The 20,818-nt window shown below is 55.0% G+C and overlaps 2 protein-coding genes across 4 annotated transcripts in view, besides 4 other annotated features; one reads left to right on the forward strand and one right to left on the reverse strand.

The window, feature by feature from the left end:
- On the forward strand, positions 609-8,796 carry R3HCC1 (R3H domain and coiled-coil containing 1). Of its 3 annotated transcripts, none has more exons than NR_125897.1 (9): positions 609-674; positions 1,023-1,150; positions 1,533-1,670; positions 2,383-2,736; positions 2,852-2,986; positions 3,878-4,050; positions 5,820-5,890; positions 7,286-7,381; positions 8,484-8,796. NR_125897.1 is itself a non-coding variant. In NM_001301650.2 (9 exons), exons 2-9 carry the CDS (start codon positions 1,041-1,043, stop codon positions 8,612-8,614), a joined length of 1,197 nt encoding a protein of 398 aa, NP_001288579.1. In that variant the 5' UTR covers positions 625-674; positions 1,023-1,040; the 3' UTR covers positions 8,615-8,796. The 3 variants fall into 3 exon arrangements, 2 of the variants coding, with proteins under 2 accessions (NP_001288579.1, NP_001129580.2); NM_001301650.2 differs by having other exon boundaries at positions 625-674; positions 2,383-2,442; positions 2,569-2,986; NM_001136108.3 differs by having other exon boundaries at positions 625-674; positions 2,383-2,986.
- Positions 646-855: a silencer, noted in NCBI's record as "silent region_19023". NCBI's record gives its function as "represses an Ori minimal core promoter by ATAC-STARR-seq in GM12878 lymphoblastoid cells {active_cell/tissue: GM12878}" and the evidence as "EXISTENCE:reporter gene assay evidence [ECO:0000049][PMID:35858748]".
- Positions 8,815-8,914: an enhancer, noted in NCBI's record as "active region_27115". NCBI's record gives its function as "activates an Ori minimal core promoter by ATAC-STARR-seq in GM12878 lymphoblastoid cells {active_cell/tissue: GM12878}" and the evidence as "EXISTENCE:reporter gene assay evidence [ECO:0000049][PMID:35858748]".
- LOXL2 (lysyl oxidase like 2) overlaps positions 9,414-20,818 on the reverse strand; it is a 107,224-nt gene continuing 95,819 nt past the window's right edge. Inside the window, exons 11-14 of the mRNA NM_002318.3 lie at positions 15,799-15,914; positions 14,544-14,680; positions 11,353-11,464; positions 9,414-10,639 (exon numbers count right to left, since the gene is read on the reverse strand). Coding sequence (NP_002309.1) covers positions 10,560-10,639; positions 11,353-11,464; positions 14,544-14,680; positions 15,799-15,914 — 445 coding nt within the window. The 3' untranslated portion in view covers positions 9,414-10,559. The remainder of the gene's footprint in view (positions 10,640-11,352; positions 11,465-14,543; positions 14,681-15,798; positions 15,915-20,818) is intronic.
- Positions 14,098-14,598: an enhancer, noted in NCBI's record as "H3K4me1 hESC enhancer chr8:23159094-23159594 (GRCh37/hg19 assembly coordinates)". NCBI's record gives its function as "activates a minimal SCP1, AML or CMV promoter by ChIP-STARR-seq in primed H9 embryonic stem cells {active_cell/tissue: H9 hESC(primed)}" and the evidence as "EXISTENCE:reporter gene assay evidence [ECO:0000049][PMID:30033119]".
- Positions 14,599-15,099: an enhancer, noted in NCBI's record as "H3K4me1 hESC enhancer chr8:23159595-23160095 (GRCh37/hg19 assembly coordinates)". NCBI's record gives its function as "activates a minimal SCP1, AML or CMV promoter by ChIP-STARR-seq in primed H9 embryonic stem cells {active_cell/tissue: H9 hESC(primed)}" and the evidence as "EXISTENCE:reporter gene assay evidence [ECO:0000049][PMID:30033119]".

Below are 20,818 nucleotides of genomic sequence, written 5' to 3' on the forward strand. Positions count from 1 at the left end.
CACTGTGGTGTGAATTAGACCTTTTTACAGGTTACATCAATGCGGGAGAAGGAAGGGCAATGATGGGCAACAGTGCTGAAATATCTGGTGCTCAGAAACTTCCTTCCTCTTTATTCCTCTGTTAGGTCCCTGGGGAGGGGAACAATGAATGGGAAACCCTAGCACCGCCGTTAGCTAGCTTACAGTGCTATTAGGTTGGTGCAAAAGTAATTGCGGTTTTTTACTTATTAGCAAAACCACAATTACTTTGCACCAACCTAATAGTAGCTGAACAAAAGTGTTTGTTGAACTTAATTGATCTTACAAGACTGTGCCAACATGGAAGAAAAAAAGAAAAGAGCCCATCTTGGAATCAGACCTATCTTTGCTCAAAGTAAGACTCTAGAATGTACCATCTGTGCAACTTGAGGCAAGTTATTTCACCTGTCTGGGTCTCGGTTTTGCCATGAATATGAAAGCTAGTCGTGTCACTCTAGGAGAAGCGGTTTGTGTTGGTGGCAGGTGCGCCCCCTCCCAATAGGTGACAAGAACACGCACTCTCCCGTTCCTGCGTTACCTCCCCCAGGCCGCGCGGTGGCGCTGCGTCTCTGCAGCGGCCCGGGTCTCTCTAGGGCGCTCGGGCGCGCTGGCCCCTGGGGACGCCGAGGGCGGCTGCGACGCGCCGAGAGGCCGCGGTGAGTGCAGCAGCACTGGGGGGGTGGTCGTCCCGACCCCCGGGCTCCCGGGTGGGAAGGAGCAGCTGGGCTGCGCGGAGCAGGCCCCCGTGAGCCCCGGGAAGGAGCGCAGCGCAGGGTGTGGAGCCACCCTCAGCATCCGACCGCAGGCGGGGACGAGAGCCTTGGGCAGGAGCCAGGAGACCCCTTCCCTGACCCCTGACTTGCCGGGGGTCCCTGGCATCACTTCCCCGCCACCGAGCCTTGGACCAGAGGGTTTCTAAGGCCCTTTCGGTGCCGGCGTTGCGGGGTCGCGGGAGATCCGGGGGTCTGTGCTCTGATTCCCGGCCCTGCCCGTCTCTCTTACAGGCTCTCCCACCTGTCACCCTGGCCCTTCTCTGCTTGGATGGTGTCTTCCTCTCCTCAGCCGAGAATGACTTCGTCCACCGGATCCAGGAGGAACTGGACCGCTTTCTGCTGCAGAAGCAGCTGTCAAAGTAGGCTCATGTGAGGGGCGAGGGTGCCGCCTTGCTGGGAAGGGCAGGGTTCCCGAGCCGCCTGTGTGCCCTCCCCCAGGTGGTGCCTGGCAGCTGGCTCTGACCTTGGCCTTTAGTCTTTATAACGCCAGCTGCCTCTTTTAGCTGCATCTTTGTAATTGTGAGCATCACCCCCAGACTGATGGGGCCCGGCACAGGGATTGGGGATGGGACCTGTGGGTCCCTGCGATCACCTCTATCTATGCTCAGATCCTTTGCAGTCCATCTGGGACCCAGAGGGGCAGAAGGGAGCCCAGTGTTAATCCGCGATTAACCTGGGAGTGGACCTGGTAGGGGCCAGGCCCTGGACACCTGCTCAGCACTTCTTCCCCTCCCTCCCCAGGGTTCTTCTTTTCCCCCCACTCTCCAGTCGCCTCCGGTACCTGATCCATAGAACAGCAGAGAATTTTGATCTCTTGAGCAGCTTCTCCGTTGGGGAGGGCTGGAAGAGGAGGACGGTCATCTGTCACCAGGACATCAGGTGTGTAGCCTCCCACCTTGAAGTGCCTGCAGCGGTGGTGTGTGGGTGGCCAGCTAGCTGGTCAGCCTTTGGAAGGGCAGGGCTGGGGGGAACCAGGGCTGGGACCCCCGGCTGCTGCCATTCCTAGCTGCAGCTGCTCAGCCAGGGCTGCCTTTTGCATCAACAGTGGAGCAGATATGCAGTTTGTGGAATTCACTTGGCAAAATCAGCTATATGGTTGGGCCAAAAGAGAGAGAGAGATCTGTTTAAGTAGTGGGTGTGTGGCGGGGGGCCTCCCTAGCATTCCTCTCAGTGAGCTTGTGTCCCACAGAGACCAGAAAAGCACCTGCTGGGCTTCGGTCCCCTCTGTTCCCATGTGCGTCTCAGTGAGCATCTTACTTTAATGACTGTGATCCTAGTGTTTGAAGTGACATGTTTTTCTGATAGCATACTTCTTAAATGCAAGAGCTTACCTCCCCTGGTGTGTAACTGAAGATGGACTGATCTCTAATTTGGATCACAGCACTAGAGGGCAAGCTGGCTGCTCTGGGCTCATGCAAAAGTGACAGCCTCCACTGTGATGCCTTCCTAAGGGATTTTCGAGGGTCATTTTGGCTGTGGTTTTTGCCTAATGCTGACCCGAATGTCTCTCCTGAATGACAAGTGGCTCTAGTAAATCATTTTCCTTTGGGCCCCTACACACTCTGATTACCTCCTCCCATTCCTGCTCCAGGGTACCCAGTTCGGATGGCCTCTCTGGCCCCTGCCGCGCTCCTGCCTCCTGCCCCAGCAGGTACCACGGTCCTCGGCCCATCTCCAACCAAGGAGCAGCTGCGGTTCCCCGAGGTGCCCGGGCTGGCCGGTGGTATCGTGGACGCAAGCCTGACCAGCCTTTGTATGTGCCCCGGGTGCTGCGCAGGCAGGAAGAATGGGGGCTGACCTCTACCTCGGTGCTCAAGAGAGAGGCCCCAGCTGGCAGGGACCCAGAAGAGCCTGGAGATGTTGGTGCTGGAGACCCCAACTCTGATCAGGGACTCCCTGTGCTGATGACTCAGGGAACAGAGGACCTAAAGGGCCCAGGACAAAGGTGTGAGAATGAGCCACTGCTGGACCCTGTTGGCCCTGAGCCTCTGGGGCCTGAGAGTCAGTCAGGGAAGGGAGACATGGTGGAGATGGCCACACGGTTTGGGTCCACCCTGCAGCTAGACCTGGAAAAGGGGAAGGAGAGTCTGTTGGAGAAGAGGCTGGTGGCAGAGGAGGAAGAGGACGAAGAGGAGGTGGAAGAGGATGGCCCCAGCAGCTGCTCGGAGGACGATTACAGTGAGCTGCTGCAGGAGGTGATGAGGCTCTTGAGCCCGAAAAGGGAGGGCGGAGGTGAGGTGGGTGTGGCCGTGGGTGGATGGGGACCAAGGGTTATGGTGTGGAGAGCAGGGGATGTGCAAGGGGAGGTAGGGCTGGGTGTTGGGTGACAGGGATTCCTTAGGGAACTCAGGAGATGAGGTGTGGATTTGGGTCCCAGCCCAGCCATGTAGGAGCTGCTTGACCCTGGGCAAGTTATTTTGTTTGGCTGAGTCTCAGTTTCCTCATCTGAAACTAAAACCAGTTGATAATACAGCCTTCACTAGGTCATGGAGATGGACTCTGTGTGCAAGTACATCGTCTTGTGTTACGGATGCCAGTCATGGAAATTACTCTTTAGCCTGAAGTTTTATCTTATAAATCTTGTTTTCTTGGGACCGTGCGACTGCCCCTGAGACTGGCTGTGGGTTCAGTTGGGAGGGTGGCATCTTTTATGGCTATTTTATACATGAAGAATGCAGACCACAGACCTGCCAAATATCACATCACTAGTAGAGGAGGGAAAGTTCTTGGACTTGCCCAGCTCTGCCTCTTACTGACTTTGCACTTTGGGAAAAATTACTTAACTCTTGGGCCTTCAGTTTCCCCATCTGTAAAACAGCTTTCTAAAATATAGTTTTCAGGATTCTATGGAACATTATGTGTGTAATTGCCAGTCACTTAGTGGGGACTCCATACAAGTAAGTGCCCTCCCGTAAAACCCATGCGTCTTGACGTCTTGACCTTGCAGCCCAGTCTGCCTGCTGCTGCCTTTCCCAGACTTTTGCCAGGTGGGCCCCTTCTCCCTGCAGAGCTCTCAGCGCGTGGGCTAGTGGTTTGGGAGCTCTGCGTGTCCAAGCTCCCCTTGCTAAGGGTCCGATCTCTCCTAGATCACAGACAACCTGACGAAGAAGGAGATTCAGATAGAGAAGATCCATTTGGACACATCCTCCTTCGTGGAGGAGCTGCCTGGAGAGAAGGACCTTGCCCACGTGGTAGAGATCTATGACTTTGAACCAGCGCTCAAGACGGAGGACCTGCTGGCAACGTTTTCTGAGTTCCAGTGAGTGGTGGCTGGGGAGGTGCTGCCTTCAGAGAGGAGCTAAGATACTTCTCTGTAGCTGGGGGTGCTTGCCTGCCCCACACCCAGTGCCTAATGCTTCAGCAAGAGAGACAGAAAGTGGGTGTGTTGCCTGGGCTCTGTATTCCTGGGCAGTTCTCCCTGCCGGCCGTCCCTCGGGAAAGAGAGCACTGATTTGTTGGTTGTAGACACACCCTGCAGGCCCTAGACCTGGGCTGCCCCCCTGCATGGCCACACGCCTGCCAGGATGCCATGCGCCCTCCCTCAGTCTCAAGGGACATGGCAGCCTCCTCTTCTCCTCTTGCCTGCCTCCCAGCGGCTGCTCAGTGTGTCTCCAGCAGGCTACGGGCCAGCTCCATGTGGGAACTGTTTCTAGGGTGCACTGAGCAGCCTGCTGGGGCAGAGTGGAGGTCGGAATGGTGGCCAGAGGCTGTATTGAGAGACACGACTTCCCTCCTCCTCAGCTTCCCCACATGCCTTTAGATCCACCCTCCTGTCTTTCCTTCTTTTTTCTTTTCCTTTTTTTTCTCATTTTGCCTTCTCCCCTTCCCCTTCTTTGTTCCTGCTCAGGCTTTCTTTCTCCTCTTTTTTTTTGAGACAGGATCTTGCTCTTTTGTCCAGGCAGGGGTGCAGTGGTACGATCACAGCTTGCTGCAGCCTCAACCTCCTGGGCTCAAGTGATCCTCCCACCTTCGTCTCCCAAGTAGCTGGGACTACAGGCATGTGCCACCGTGCCCAGCTCTGCCTAGGCTTTTAGAAACCCCTTTCTGTGGCTGGGCACGGTGGCTCACGCCTGTAATCCCAGCACTTTGGGAAGCTGAGGAGGGCGGATCATGAGGTCAGGAGATCGAGACCAACCTGGCTAATATGGTGAAACCCTGCCTGTCTCTACTAAAAATACAAAAAAATAAAATTAGCTGGGCGTGGTGGCAGGCGCCTGTAGTCCCAGCTACTCGGGAGGCTGAGGCAGGAGAATGGTGTGAACCCGGGAGGTGGAGCTTGTAGTGAGCCGAGATTGTGCCACTGCACTTCAGCCTGGGTGACAGTGCGAGACTCCCTCTCAAAAAAAATAAAAATAAAAACAAAAAGAAACCCCTTTCCACGTGGCCCTTGTTAACTCTGCTTCCTAAAGCCTTCCGCTGTGCTCTGCTCCTGAGCAGGAGAGCCGAAGGGGTGGCTAGGGGCAACACGTTCTGCTCTTCTGTTCTCTACCTTGATGGTGCAGCCAGGCTGGGGCCGCTGTGCCTTTCTCTGCCCGGGTGGGGCCACACTGCCTTAGGCCTCTCACAAGCTGCAGGGTAGGTGGCACCTTCCTGAGCAATAGGAATAAAGCTGACAGGAGCATGGTGGCCCTGCTGGTTTGAGGTCCTATACCCCTCCCCCACCACAGAAACCCTTTCTTCCCCAGCCTCAGACACCATGGCCTTGGCTGGGCTGAGACAGGCCTGGTGAAGAGTCTCTTCCTCCTTGGTGTCGTGCCATATGAGCTCTTTGAGTCCTGGCTTCTTTAGTTCTAGAAACTGGTGACCTGCCTGACATTGACAGGAGTGACATTTGTCTTTCTGAAGCCAACCATATGGGCTTCAGAGGAAATTTGCTGCAAATGATTGTCTCCGTCCCAGAAGAGATGGGACCTTGCCTCAGGCTGGTGGCATCTGCGGGCTGGAGGCGAGGGGGTGTGGCTGCGGGATTCGAAGAGGAGTTTGACTGCTTGCTTTCCTGAATGTGCTGTCTCCTCTCTCGCCGCACAGAGAGAAGGGGTTCAGGATTCAGTGGGTGGATGATACTCACGCACTCGGCATCTTTCCCTGCCTGGCCTCAGGTAAGGCACCCCCAGTGGGCCCAGCCCTTGCTCGGATCCCTGTTGAGAGGGAGGACCCTTGGTTCCCTGGGTAGAGGCCACCATCTCCTGGGCGCAGGCTCAGCTGAGCCAGTAGGCTCTGGGGGTTTTGTTCCCAGCCTAAAACCCAGGGGGAGCTGAGCGGTCTCTGGCCCATAGTAATGCGCCTTAATGAAGAAGCCCTTCCTATTGTGTTAGTGCTTTCAATGAAAAGGCATCAGATTCAGGCGACCTTTGCTGAGGAAGGTCGTGAGCCAAGCCCAACGGATGTCCCTGTGTTAAATGAAACCACAGCAAAGTGCTGCTTTAACGGCCAAAAGCATTTGAATTCTGGAGATTTCATGTGGTTCAAGTAGACACATTCTTACTCGATTTTCGCTTCAGCCTCAAGATGTAGGTCAGGTTACCTCCATTGTACAGCTGGAGAGACTTAAGGGTCCCAGAGTGTCAGGGGTACACTCCAAGTTACACAGCCTCTCAGTGTCACAGCTCGGGGCACCACACTGCCTCATGACTCCAGTGCTCCTGTCTCCCTCAGTCACTTGCCTGCATTGCCCTGCCACACCACCGTGCTTACATTTGGTATAATTTATAGTTACCCGCGCCACGCCCCCTTTACTGGTCTTCCCAGAAACAGCCTTCTGAAAACCCGAGCTGGGGCCTGGGAGCGCCATTGCTGCTGGGGCCCAGTCCTCAGGAGGGAGGGCCCTGGCAGCATTTAGGGAGGGAACAGGGCAGGGTGGGGTCTCAAACCCCAGAGAGGGAGATTGTGGAAAGGAAGGCAGGGAGGGAGGCCAAGAGGCTGCCCTGTGCTGCGAGAGGAATGAGCTGTGGCTGGGGTTGGCCATGGCGTTCTGATCTCCACAGACTATGGTGAGAGCAGGTTCCCTTGCTTCAGTTTCCTCTTCTGTAGAACAGTGGGCAGCTTGGACCTGAAGCCTCTCCCAGCTCTGCTCTGCCATACTCTGTAAATAGTCGGGGTGCTGCAACACCAGGCATGACTCAGGGCAGTGAACGCATGTTCCCTGGAGGGTCTTGAGTGGTGAAAGGGGGAGAGGTTGTGTTTAGCCCTGGGGCTTTGGAAACTGGGAGCCCGCCTCTTCTGATGTCAGAATCACAGCCTCCCCAGTGCTCTCCCTGACCAGCCTGGGGTGGGAGTGTCCTCTGAGCGCAGGTGTCCCTGTGCGGGCCTGTGGGGCTCTGGGGGATGAGGCAAGCAGGCGGCAGTCGTCTCTTGCCCATCCAGGGCGGTGTCGGAGCAGCCCTGCCCTGAGCTTTGAATAGGTGCACAACACGGCTGCAGGGGTTCGGGGTGGTGGGTGTGCCGCGGGGTCCTGAGGAGGAGGGAGTGGCTCCACGCCTGCTTTCTTTCCACAGCTGCGGAAGCCCTGACCCGGGAGTTCTCGGTGCTCAAGATCCGGCCCCTCACACAGGGAACCAAGCAGTCAAAGCTCAAAGCCTTGCAGAGGCCAAGTAAGGAAAGCGCATGTCCCTGAATAGGGAGGCTGTGTGTGTGTGTGTGCGTGCGAGCATGTGTGTGTGTGCGTGTGTGTGTGTCTGGTTTGGGCAGGGTCTTCCCCTCTGTTAATTCTTCCCGCTTGACTTCTCTGCTCTTAGGGAGCCCTGGGCTGCAGTAGCCAGTGGGGCTGTGTTCCCCCTCCCTAGCAGGCCTAGGGGGGGTCTGGGGCAGGGGTCTCCCTTGGGGAGTGGCGTCTGCCAGCTGCTGTGCAGGGAGGCTCTCCTGCTCATACCCTCTTCTGGGCACAGGGAAAAGCTTGGTCCTTCTTCTGGAGGGCCCTGGAAACCGTATCCCATAGGGCCGGGAAGGGCCTGGGCTTTGGGGTCCGCTCCGGGACCCCCAAATGGCTCTGTCAGTTACTTCAGTTGGTCTCAGTGACACTGAGGAAGTCACTCAGTGTGTGAGTTGGTTTCTTCTTCTGTAAAATAAGCAGACTCTTCAGTCTGAAGGATTGAATGAGAGCCTGGCATACCTGCCTGGAGCCCTGAGGGCACATAGAAGGTACCAGATAACCGTTATAGCGCCTCCTTTTCCCCTTCTACTTCCAGAAACCATGGTGAGAGATTTTAGACACGAGTTTTCCATGACTTCAAAGTAGTAACTAGTAAAATGGACCTGCAAGAGGCCTGCCGAGGCCAGCTGTGCTCTCGTGGGTGGTTACGTAGCCAACATGGTCCAGGGTTTCTTGGAACAATAAATATCCTGTCCGTAGGTCTGTGAGCTCTGGGTGTTCCATCCTGACTTGATACCCCTCCCAAAGGACCCTAAAAAGCAGGGAGGTGTGCAGGATGAACCCCTCAGCCCCCTCACTGTAGAGACAGAGAAACAAGGGCATGTAGAGGCGACAAGTTTGGGTCAGCATCCCCTGGGGGGCCAGGATCCCTAAGTTGGCCCCCTCTCATGAGCATCCGGCCACACCACGGGCACAGCTGGGCCGAGGCCCCACATGTGTCACATGAGAGGCTGGCTCTGATGGCTTGTACGGCTGCTGTGTTGCTGGGGGAGAGGCAGCCACGACCTTGTGTTTAGGTCCCCACTGTGGGGCTTTCCTTCTAGAACTCCTGCGTCTGGTGAAGGAGAGGCCACAGACAAATGCGACTGTGGCCCGGCGGCTGGTGGCCCGGGCCCTGGGACTCCAACACAAAAAGAAAGAGCGGCCTGCTGTCCGGGGTCCGCTGCCGCCCTGAGGCCTGGAGACCCAACTGGCCTGGATCTGCGTCCCGACGTAGCTGGCGCCCCCAACACCATAAGCCTTCACAGACGCCAGAGCAGCCCCGCACCACCCTCGAGCTTCACCATGGGGTGTGGTGGGCTTTAGTTTAGTCCCAGAAATGGAGAAAAAATAAAAACTCACGTTGTTCTAATGTGATCACTTTGAAATGTGGTCTGTAGGGGACGCTAGGGGGTGCTATTCCACCTTGCAGTGCAGGTGGGCAGCTGCTGAAGGAAGGTCACTTGAGCTTAGCCGGGAGGATCCCCACTGGGCCTGCAGGGCCTCTGTGCACAGCCTGCCCAATTTTGGGAGCTGGGTTGCACCTGCTGTGTAGCACCTGCCCACACTCCTTTGGCAGTTCAGGTATCCAGCCTTCTGGCCTGTGCTGTGGGACAGTTCTGGGACCCCTGGGCTGGTCCTGGTCTTACCTGTCAGTCAGTGCCAGTTCCTGCAAAATAAATGTAAACAAAGGCAAGAGGTGAGATCTGAATGCGTGCCGACGCCCTCATTCAATTGTGGTTTGAGTGGAGTTGGTGCCAAGGTGGTCCTACCTACCCTCTAGTTTGCTGGGCCCTAGCATGCTGTTGACACAAGGGGAAGTCCCCTGTGTCTGGGTGAGTCGCATGGGCCAGCCACCCCCCCACTGCCACTGGGAATTGCTGGGAGCCCCTGTCCTGTGAACGGATGCCCTCTTGCTTTGATAAGCTGCCTGGTGGCTGTTGTTTAAATCTAGACTTCCCATCCAGCCCTCGCACAACTCCTATGCCTTCTGACAAGTTTCAGTAAAAACCACAGGAGTTCAAGAAAGATTATGACTCCTGTTCCGTTACTTTTTGTGATCTCCTTAGATTGCTTCTCCCAGATGGTAGGAGCTGCCCCTTTTGGAGTCTATTGAAGGAGGTGCCCTGGTGGCCACACTGGGCTGGAGGGGATCTGAGGACCCATGTCCACCGGAGAAAACCACGAATGTACCTGAAGCTCTGCTTCTGGCCACTGAACATAGGAAGCCTGCTGCTCAGGGCCCAGGTGCTGTGGGTCAAAGGAAACACAGACACGTTTCATAAATCTTTCTTTTATTCCAAGTTTCAAGTATGTGTAAGTGTCTGTGATGACACATGGTGCTCAGTGAGCGCCCTGTCACCCAGGACCCTGGTTATAGCACCGTTGAATCAAAAACCCACAGAATTGGAACAACAGGAAGATGAGTCACTTACACAGTGGGTTGGTTTTTCCTTAGATTTGTACTTCCAAGGGCCCAGATGTCCAATATTAAATGCCAATAAATTTGTGCTTCAAAAGTCTGTGAAAATATAATAATAGTATCTTGAAAAACAAGGGGTGGGGGCTGTGGATAGGGAAGCACCAAGTCTGAGCTCACCAAATCAGAAAACACGTGGCACCATTATCTATGTGACTATAATAGACTGGAGGGTTTCATTGGAAGAGAGGTCTAGATATTCAAGTTTGCTGAAAATGACCTAAGAGGAGGAGAAATGGGGTTCGGCCTGACCCTCTCTGGGGGGGCTGATGAGCCCGCATTTGTCCACGTGTCACTGGAGAAGAGCGCGGCTCCACTGTGTCTGTGGTGAGCTCGGTGGCTTGAATGGGACAAGCTGATGACAACCTGTCTGTGGGCCTCATCCCGGTCAAGACTGGCTCTTGGTGCTGCTCCAGCAGCTCTGTGGACAAACCCCACCCCCGCAAGGCCTTCTCAGGCCCCAAGGGTCAGGTAGCAGCCCCCCATGAATGATGGGAGGGTCCCTTTCCTCCTGAGCTTAGACACAGCTGTAGGGGTCTGGACAGGGTGGGGGCCGGGCTGGGTGAGGGCACGTGGCATTCGTTCAGACTCAGTTGTTGGGGGGAAGTCCCATGGAAGATGTGGTGTGGCCTGAAGACAGGAGTTGACCACGCAGGCTTCTTTACTGCGGGGACAGCTGGTTGTTTAAGAGCCCGCTGAAGTGCTCAAACTTTTTTTCCGTCTCTTCGCTGAAGGAACCACCTGAAGAGCGAGAATCGGGTAGAGAGAGTGGACAAATGAGATGCTCGGGCCTTGCCTGACCCTGAGCCAGGGGAGTGGGCCTCAGGGGCTGCTGGGGCCACCTGTGTGTGCCCTCCTCAAAAGGACAGGTGCCAGGCACTGGCCATCTCTAGGGCTGGGCACATAGCAGGTGCTCTGTCAAAGTTGAGTGAACGAGTGAATAAATATAGCGCCTTTAATTTTAACCTTTTGCCAAGAGTGAGGCCCATGACTTTTCCTGCAGAGGAAAAAGCTCTGCCTTCCCTTTTGTTCCCCAAGTCCTATCATCCAAGGAAAAAAGTGTCTTTATTGGAGACTAGAAATAACAGTAGTTTGCTAGCTTCCAGCTCTCGACAGAAAAACCTGATAGGCAGAGCCCACAGATTGCTGATGCCCACATTTTTGAGGTCACATACATAATGAGCCAGTGGCCTCAGCTCCAACCCTTAAAAAGCCTTGGGGTCTGCACTGGGCTGGCCTGGTCCTGTACCATCCTCTATCCGTGGCCGGAGCTGGCTGTAAAAACTCAGTCTCCATCCAGGCCTGTGTGTCTGTGGCTTCTGTCCTGAATGTGGAAATGTGATGCTGGCTGCATTCCCCGAGCTCTTTACCCAAATTAGGAAGCTGCCTCTGGGTCCTTGAGAAAGTAGGGCAGCTCCCGCCTGCTTCCTGGAGTGGGGGCGGCCTGGCCTTACCTATGTGGCAGTTGTACATCCAGATGCGGTGGCCGTCATAGCGGCTCCTGCATTTCATGATGTTGTTGGAGTAATCGGATTCTGCAACCTCGAAGTTGGGGTTAATAACAACCTAGGGAGAAGCAGGGCAGAGGAGGCTGCTTGTTCCCTCTGCGGCCACCTCCACCCAGGCCTGGGGCTCTGAGAGACCAGCACCTCAGGGAAGGGGAGCGTGGCAGGTGCCGGGACCCAAGACGGGGGTCTGTGGGTCTCAACAAAGTCCTTGGGGAGGGGAAGAGATGAGTCAGGGAGCAGAGGAAGCATGGCCTGGAAGAGGGAAACCCTGCCCTCTGTCCATATCCGTGTAACACACACCCCTCTACCCAGGGTGGGCCTTCGGAAGGGGGTCACCCACTCCTGGGAGTTCTGGGGAAGGCAGAAGTTGGGGTCTGGGGAGGCCCCAAAAAGAAGATGCTGAAGAGAAGCAGAAGGGTGCAGGGAGGACCTGGCGGTGTGGGAACCTGGAAGAGGGCTGCCTGGGCGTTGGAGATGGGACACTCGTCACAGGCGTGTGACTGTGGACATGTCCCTTCCTCTCTCTGTAAAGTGACAGGTGGGACTTGGGGATCCATGTCCCTGTCTGCTCTGCTGGCCGAGGGCCTGGCTCTGGGGCTGCTGGAGAAGTTGCACCCTCTCCCCATCCTTCCACCCACCCCTGTATCCGCATCCCCCCAGCTACAGCAGGAATAGGAAGGACATATTCTGGGAGAGTGTCTGTGAGGGAACAGAAAAGGGGAGGTTTACGGTGAGGACCCGAGGAGAAAAGAGAAAGGGAGGGAGAGGGAGAAGAGACAACAGTGGTGAACAGAGGGGCAGAGGACACAGATGACAGGCCTTCCCTCGAGGGTCCTGCCACATTTGGAAGGGCTGCGACCCACAGCAGGGGGGCGGGTACAGGCTGCTCGTTCAGGAACATTCTCTAAATTTGGGGCCCCAGAAGGGCCTGGACACGAACCTTTAGCAGGCCGCTGGGCTTGCCCAAAGAGGTGCTGTGGGAAGCCAAGGCCAGCCTGGCAGCCGGCCCTCTGCTCTGGCCCAGCGGGGCTGTTCTGGGGGCCTGCACCTGGCTCAGCTGTGTCCCGCTGGGGCCCTGTGCCTTTAGCTAAGGAGGTACATGCCCTGCTCCGGGGCGGCTTGAGTTTTTTCTTTTCCACCCAACCATTCTAGCTGCCCCCTCGTTCCTGGCCCACACATGGCATGGGGCAAACACAGCTCCACATGCCAAGGCCTCCAGCTGTGCAGGCCTAGGCAGCTCCTTGGCCGCCCAGGCGTCTCGACAGTGCAGCCGTGAGGGCGGCTGGATGCAGCAAGGGCTCGTGTTGGGGACACGAGGGCCAGTGTTACGTGTGGGGTGGAGGCGGGGCTGGAAATGTGTGTCCCCCACTGTTTCACCCCACTCATCTACTGCAGACCGACATCTCACGAGGGCCTGCGGGAAGTGGCTTTAGGTTTCTGTATGTCTGTGAATCTAGGAAATGATGAGAAAGCGGATAAAGCGGGGCCACCAGGAGCCAGGAGGCCCCTTCACCCCTGCCTCTGAGCTCTGCACAGGTCCCTCTGCGTGGACGGTCACTTCCTCCTCGCCCAGCTCCCTCCTCCTGTCCTTCACAGCACCACTGATGTCTGAAGTGAAGACCACCTCTTGTGTCCCGTGAGTCCCCAGGCCGGTGCTTGTGGCACCTAAAGAAGCTCCATGTCTATCTTAAGGGGAATGTTCTTTTTGATTAATCAGAGGTATTAACATGCCCCTAATGAGTCCATTTGCTAATTGTATTGTTTAGGGGTTGAGAAAACAAAATAAAGAGTTGATATGTCTGGGGTTGGGTGGCCGTGAAATGAGGGTAATGATGATGCCCCTTCCTTGGGAGATTAAATCAAACAATGCATTCCCCAGGCTTAGGCAATTGATAGTAGTTATTAAGTGGATGGCACTGGCCAGAATACAGGGAGATACACACTCACCCAGCAAAATGATAGCAAACCTCAAACAGAAACCACCAGGCACTGTATACGTGCACATGGCCACGGCTATTCATCTTTTAAAATAAATAACTCTCTGGTTAGGCCTCTCCAAGTCTGTGGTTCTGGGCTTGTGGGTGGAAAAGTGCTTGGCTGTCTGCTTTCCAGCCTCTGAAACTGCCCAGGAATTCTCTGAAAGCCCCTCTGTGGTGACTTCTCTGAAGGTGTTGTTTCTTCAGAGGACTGTCTGTAGGTGGGGACCGTGGGCCAGGCCCTGGGCTGGCTGAATGCCCCCTCAGGAAAGCTTTCAAGGTGGAATGACACATTTCTGGTCATCCACTTTGCTAGCCAACAGGGCAAGCTGGAAAACGAGATGGGTGAGGACGTAGGAGAGAGTGAGAGGGTGAGATAAAGCTTCTGCAGGCTACGTGTACCCGTGCACTGGGAGAGACACTAGGGACACAATGCCCCTTTTCTCCCCCAGTTAGAGCCCTGGCCAGAACATGCCGCTGTTTTCAGGAAGGAGGGAAGCCAAGGCCCCCTTGTTCCTCCTCAGGGCTGGCCTTCCACCCAGAGTATGTGGAAACAAATCTCGGCAACCCCTCTGACAAAGAAGTCACCTGGCCAGGCTGTGTCTCGTGTTCAGTATTTTATTCTTATAGATTCACTTTGCATTGAGAATGGCCCCTTCTGCAGATCCTCCTCTATGAGGCAGATATTTCCGGAAGAGCTAAGTCACAGATATTTGCAAGTGACTGGCTCTTTATGAGTTTGCTTTCAGTCTTGAAAGCACAGACCAAGGCAGCCTAGGGCACTAGGAGAAATGGGGATGGTGGAGACAAGAGCTCCATAGGAGACAAGAGGTGTGGGTTGCCTGAGCATGTATGGAATAAACTGGCCGGAGGAGCAAATCTAGCCTGCTGATGAGTTTTGATTTGCATGCACCAGGTGTTAACTCAATCAAATGTGAATGCCTGTGGTGTCTCTGGTCCTGTGCACGCCCTATTTCTCAGGCCCCCATGCCTGATATCTTTGGGTTAACTGATGGACCGTGATGGCCTCTGGGGGTAGCACCTTGCCCTTTAGACAGCCTGACTTCCATGCCCCTGTGTGGACACCAATGGGAAGGAGCCTGTGGAGGTGGCCTCCCCTCCTCCCCCTGCAGGGCTGGAACCCCTTCCCACCCACCTCACCTGGAACAGGTAGTCTCCAGGGGGCACGTCAGTGATGTCAACCCACTGGCAGTCGATGTCATGGCGGTACATGTCCCAGCAGCCCATGGTGATGCCCTGATCGCCGAAGTTGGCACACTCGTAATTCTTCTGGATGTCTGCGGGCAGGGTAGAGGAGAGCTCATCACCAGGGAACCATGGCCCCACTGCCGCACCCTCTTCCTGCTTCCAAGGCCCCTACCGCTGCTTCATCTGGGCTCGGCATCCCACCCCACTGTGTGGGCTGCTCATCTGTTCTCATTTCAGTAGAACCCCCCACTCAATTCCCTACCCACATCCTGCCTCTTCTCTCAGGCCAGGCTCAAGTTCCCCTTCCTCCATGAAGCCCTCCCTGACCACTCTGATCCACCCTGGCCTTTCTGTGACATCCTCAGCCTGGGGATAACTGCGTGTGTGTGGACCGAGGAAATCTCTGGTGCCTGTGGTTTAGCAAAACGTGGGGGGTCATACTGTCTGTCTCCTCTGGAGGATCGGCAATTAGAGTGTAGGCCCATGTCTCTCTGACACTTACATGTTATCTGCACATGGTAAGAGGTCAACACCTGTCTGCTGTGTGATTTCACGGCAAGTCAGTGGCGGGCCGCTTCAATGAATAACAAATTAAACACGCATTTACTGAGAAGCTGCCATGCCTGGACACTGCTGTAAACAGTGGGTCTAGCAAGAAGAACTGACATGTCTCCCCATGAAGAGCCCCCAGGGCTGCAGGTGCACTAACAGGTGATCACAGGGCAGGTGTGGTGACCTACCAGAAGTGTGAGCAGAGTGCCACACCTGCCGGGACGGGGGGGCGCTTCAGAGGAGGGCATTTGAGATATAATTGAAGGGTGACACCTGGTGTGGTAGGGACACTTGGCATTGGGACACCAGAAAAAAGGTTGGTGGCAGCCAGAGTGGGAGGGGCATACGCATCAGGGTCTAGGCTGCTAAGCCCAGATGGAGCAGGGTCCCCAGAGTCTGGATCTTGTCCAGGAGGCCCTGTGGACCGACCAGTGCCTGTCAGCACAGCTCTGGGGAATCCGGGTGCCCTTGGAACCAGGTCATGCCCATGCCCCCAGCGCCTCACTATAGCTGAGGAAGGTCCAGGTGGGGAAAGGTGGCAGTGGTCAGAGTGACACAGGGTCAGTGCCAGGCCTGGGCTCCAGCCAGGTGATCGTGGAGGCAGAGGCATTCGAGTCCCTCTGAGGCCTCCCATCCCCCCACTCCGCTCAGATACCTCCTTCACATTCTGTGTCCTCCAAGCAGAAGCTGGCCTTGTGGCCCTCTGCCACCTTGGTGCCATTGAGGTTCAGCAGGTCATAGTGGGTGAACACCTCCATGCTGTGGTAGTGCCTGGAGCGAGAGAGAGATGGCCTGGAGGTCAGTTTCTGGAGCAACTGCTGCTTGCAAGCAGAGGCCTGGCTGGCGATTTGCCTCTGGGAATACTTCCAGGGGACCAGAGGGGGCCGGGTGGGGAGAGGAGTGGATGAGAGGCCTGAGGAAAGGAAAGCCGGTGCTGCAGAGGCAGCTTCAGGGCTCTGGAGTCAGACCACTGCTCACCTTGCTAAGCCTCCGTCCTCTCCTCTGCTGAATGGGAATGATCATCGTAATGCATGGGGTGCTGTGGGTACCAGGGAGGTGAGCAGATTAGCCAGCACTGCATATGATAAGCACAGAACTCCAGCTATTGTTTTTAATAAGCGTGCAACTGGCTCTCACAGCCCCTTCCTGTTTGATGCACTTTCTTCAGGGTAATTAAAAAACTCCGCATTTTGACGTCTTTTGAAATGGAATATGGTAGGGAGAAAAACCAAAGGGTAAGAAGCATGATTAAGGGGGAGCAGCAGAAAGAACAGGAATAGTAAGGAATAGAACATGTGCCCTGCACAGGACACACACAGGTACCCCAAGGTCGTGCCTGTGCTTCAGACCTGGTCAGGAAGGGCCTGCAGCTTCGCCTCTGGCCCTGGGAGGTGAGCAGCAAGTCTGTGCTCCTCGCATTGTGCAAATAAAGCAGGGAGGAGCAGAAAGACAGCTGGGAGGCCCTCTGGGAGGGAGACACTGACTCATCCTCAGGGGCACACAGCAGCGGCAAAGGGAGGCACGTCCCCGGGGGTTCCAGAAAAGAGTTCTGCAGGAGAGCTTGTGCAAGCAGGCTGCAAATCCCTTGCCGCTGGTTTACATAACGAGGCTCCCTCTCTTCCCTCGGGAGGAATTGAGAACAGATGCAGAGTCTTGGAACACATGCGCTTGGTTTAGAATAGCCCTTGTTTCAGAATAAACAAGGGAAACGGGGCTGTCGCCTGTTGCTGCAGGGCCTTCCCGAAGCCTGCACTGCCCAGGCCCGGGGCTGAAGGAAGGAGGTTGTCTTAGCCCGATCCCAACCTGCAACGAGCATGTCACAAGTGTCTGCAACTATTCTATATGCTTGTCTCTGCCATTACAGGGACATTTGGAAAATGAGGGAAACTGAGGAACAAGGTGCCAAGTCATGGGAGCAGAGTCCCCTGTTTTGTTGCTGCAGGATCTGAGCTTCCTCTTCGGCAAAGAGGGGAGGGTGGCTTTGCCCGCTCTCGGGGCCGCAAGATTGAATAAGATGAACGGCGTCAAATAACTAATGCGAAGTGGTAGCACATTAGTCAGCACTTGACATACCTGTCCCCTTCCTCGTGACACTCCCATCATAGCAGTCACGGTGGCAGGATTTTTATTACATCCACTAACACTGCTGCTACAACGGCAGGCAGGAGCTCCTCACTTCCCCAGCCCCCTGCCCTTGGCCTCAGGTTCCCTCTGCTGTGTACGGGCAGTGGGGGCACGGGGAACGGGGAAGACAGCAATGAACAGGATAGGTTTCCTGCGAGGAAATTCGAGGCTCTTTTCCCTTCCTCCTGCATTTGCCTGTGCTAAAAATAATATCAGAAGTTGCTAAGTTGGGCTTCCCTCGGTCACTCATGTTTCTGGGTAAAATGACGCTAAGCCCGGGTTCCACTGAGAACATTCACAAGGAGGCATTTTGTGGCCGTGGAAGTGACGACTTTGAGAAAGTCTATTTTGGCTTCTTGAAGGAGCAAGAAGAGACATGAGGTCTGACTCACTGCCTAAAAAATGTCTGCATCGCTCAGAGAGGGGCTTATGTGACCATGTTTACCAGCTGGAAAGACTGAAGAGAAATAGGTTGATGCTCCGTTGTCTAAACAGAATTCAGACGGAGCGCACAGACAGACTCTTGTAAGGATGACCCCGTCCCACTGCTGGGCTTCCTGCAGACTTGATTTAAATCTTCCTCAGCTTCAGTTTTTCCCCTGCAAACACTCAGGGGAGCAGCTGGTTTCATGGCCTCCCAGTTTTCCCTGGCTTCTGTCCTGGGCATCTCGCTTTGCCTCTTAGGCGTATGCGGTCATCCCTCCCTAGGGCCACATCTCCTTCCCAGCTGCCTGGATTAGAGCCTAGAGCCCCCCCACACCCCCCGCCCACCAGCACTACCCACCCATTCCCCCCAGGAAATAGAGAGCAGGACTCTGGGAAGATGGGATGGTGAGTCCTGGCGAGGAAGGTATTCCTCCTCTTGCAGGCTGAGCTGTCGTGACCCTTGGGCATCTAGGAGGGGGCTGGATCCCTGGGGTAGAGTTAGGGAAGCATGGACTTGGAAGGAAAATCCAGAACGCTAAGGGGAGAGAGAGCCTGACACTTGGCGGAGGTCACTGTGATCTGGACAAAAGAAGACACAGCCTTCTACCGTGAGACTCCAGAGCTCAATGCTTTTTTGTTTTTGTTTTTTTTTTGAGATGGAGTCTTACTCCATCACCCAGGCTGGAGTGCAGTGGTATGATCTCGGCTCACTGCAACCTCTGTCTCCCGGGTTCAAGCAATTCTCCTGCCTCAGCCTCCCGAGTAGCTGGGACTACAGAGCACGCCACCATGCCTGGCAAATTTTTGTATTTTTAGTAAAGATGGGGTTTCACCATGTTGGCAAGGCTGGTCTTGAACTCCTGACCTCAAGTGATCCACTCGCCTCCGTCTCCCAAAGTGCTGTGATTACAGGTGTGAGCCACTGCGTCCATCCCAGAGCTCAGTGTTTTAAGACATGGCACTCGTCAAGGGAGGAGGTGTTGGATGCAAAACGGATGGCAGATAAAGCTGGTTCAGAGAAAGATGGGAGAAGCAGGTATGTTCTTTGCTGTCCTAGGTCATTGGTGGCCCCAATGAAACTCCCAGTCAGAGCCTTGGTGCCCTTTGCAGAGGAGATGCTTGCACTCTACATCTTTTCCCACCCCAGCCACGTGTCCGCGGGGCATCCAGAATGGACAGTCCTGGAGGTGCTCTGCCACGGTGGGGGCAACACTCCTGTCCTCGTTTCAGAAAACAGTGGGGATGTTTCCATCCCAGAAGGAGCTGCCAGAAAGGCAGAGGCCCTTCTGCTAGCTCCACGCCCCCATCCCCCTGTGCCAGGCAGCCCCTTGGCAGGAGCAAGCCCCACAGATGCGATGAGGGCCTCAGATTGGCTCCCAGGGGCCACGTCACATCTGTGGGCTTTGATCCTCCCAGGAAGCTGAGCCGCACATGTGGTAGGCAGGGTGGAGTGAAAGGGAGTCTCTCCTCTTTGCAGCAATGCCATCCCTGACCCGGAGGACTGTCATCTGAGCTGGAGCCCACACGCCCTGCTTCTCCAACTCCTAGCTCCTCTCCTGGGATTCCCCCGAGGTGGGAGAGCCAAGCCCCTTGGCCTGTGGAGCCTGTTGTGCATCTGTGCCCCATGCTTTGTCCTGTCAGAGCGTGGCACATCGTGCCAGTTGAGCAGCGGTGGCCCCACAAGAGGCAGGAGAGAGAGGCATGGAGACCATCGGCCAGGGCACAGTGCACATGAGACAGAATAACTCCGGGGGCACTTTCCTCCAGGTCTGGTTTTCGAGGAAATTTCCAAGGGGGCCAATCTTTGTGTTTCAGCCAAGGGCTTTCAAAGAACAGAGCTCTCTTCCCCGAGGTAGCGTCAATTAAACTGGAAATGGCATTTTTTCCCATTCCCACTAATTTGAGCCAGGGTTCTCAAGCCTGGCTCCAGATGGCCTTCAGAGTGTCTGCAAATCTGCTGACATAGGCTATTAAACTTCTAGAAATATTTGTTTTGAGGAGAGGAAGGGCCAGCTCTCATCAGCTTCCAAAAGGAACCCAACAGATGTTTGAGGCCAGGATCCTGTTCCTCCCACAGCACCTGGAGAAGTCACCTGGAGCTCGAGGTACTCCTCTTAAGGTCCCTAGGATCTTATGGTCATTGTTTCTCAGCTGTGGACCAGGAGGGGGAGACCAGAAGGTACATGTGCTCAGCATGTCCTTCCTTCCCTCCCATCCCCTCCCAAGCCACTGACTAGAACATCTGTAAACAAAGAAATAAAATAGACCACAGGAAAAGTGGGGGAGCAGGGGGTTGGGGAGCAGGCAGGGAGCCAGGGTCTCCAGATCAGAAGAACATTTCCAGGATGTCACCATGTGCCTATTCTTAGAGGAGACCAAGTCCTTGGAGCGTAAGTGTATGGCACAGGGAGGTTCCTACCATGTAATCTGTGGGTGGGCTGCCATATGCAGGGCTGGGATGCAATTATCTTCTGCTTATAGACCCATAGGCAGCGTCAGCCCCCGCCGCCCAGGGCTTCCACCCACACGTTCCCCGAAGGGAGCCAAGCACCAAAACCGTCATGACTTTAACTCTACTGACTTACAACCTGAAGAAGACTAGCCTGCTTCTCTATAAAGACCACACCTTCTTGGGCTAATTAGGACGTTCAGAATATTCAATTGTTTGAATGGAAAATCAGCACCCCTGAATTCTACCATAGTCCTTTCTTGTGAGACTAGTGGAACAACTATCCCAAAACTGATTTGAATGTGACTAGGTCATCAGCTGCGATATGAAAAAAAAAAAAAAAAAAAAGCCAAAGATAGATTTCTGATGAAGAGTCAGCAGACAAAAAAGAAAGAGCATGTAGTTTGGAGTCAGACAGGCCCGAGCCGGGATTCCTGCTCTCTGCAACTCCTAGCATTATCTTGGGCAAGAGACAACTCCAAGCCTCTGTGTCCTTTTCTAGGAGAACGAAGGTTCCCTAGGCCTGACACTTAGAAGGGGCCAGGACATGTTAGTTCTGCCCATAACAGTGATGACCACATTCCGGAGCTGCAGCGGAGCCTCAACATCATCTAGACAACGGCTTCTCACACTGCAGTGTGCACACGGTCACCTGAGAATCCTGCCAAATGCAGAT

The sequence above is a fragment of the Homo sapiens genome, chromosome 8 (genome assembly GCF_000001405.40).
Source record: "Homo sapiens chromosome 8, GRCh38.p14 Primary Assembly".
Classification (NCBI taxonomy): Eukaryota; Metazoa; Chordata; class Mammalia; order Primates; family Hominidae; genus Homo; species Homo sapiens.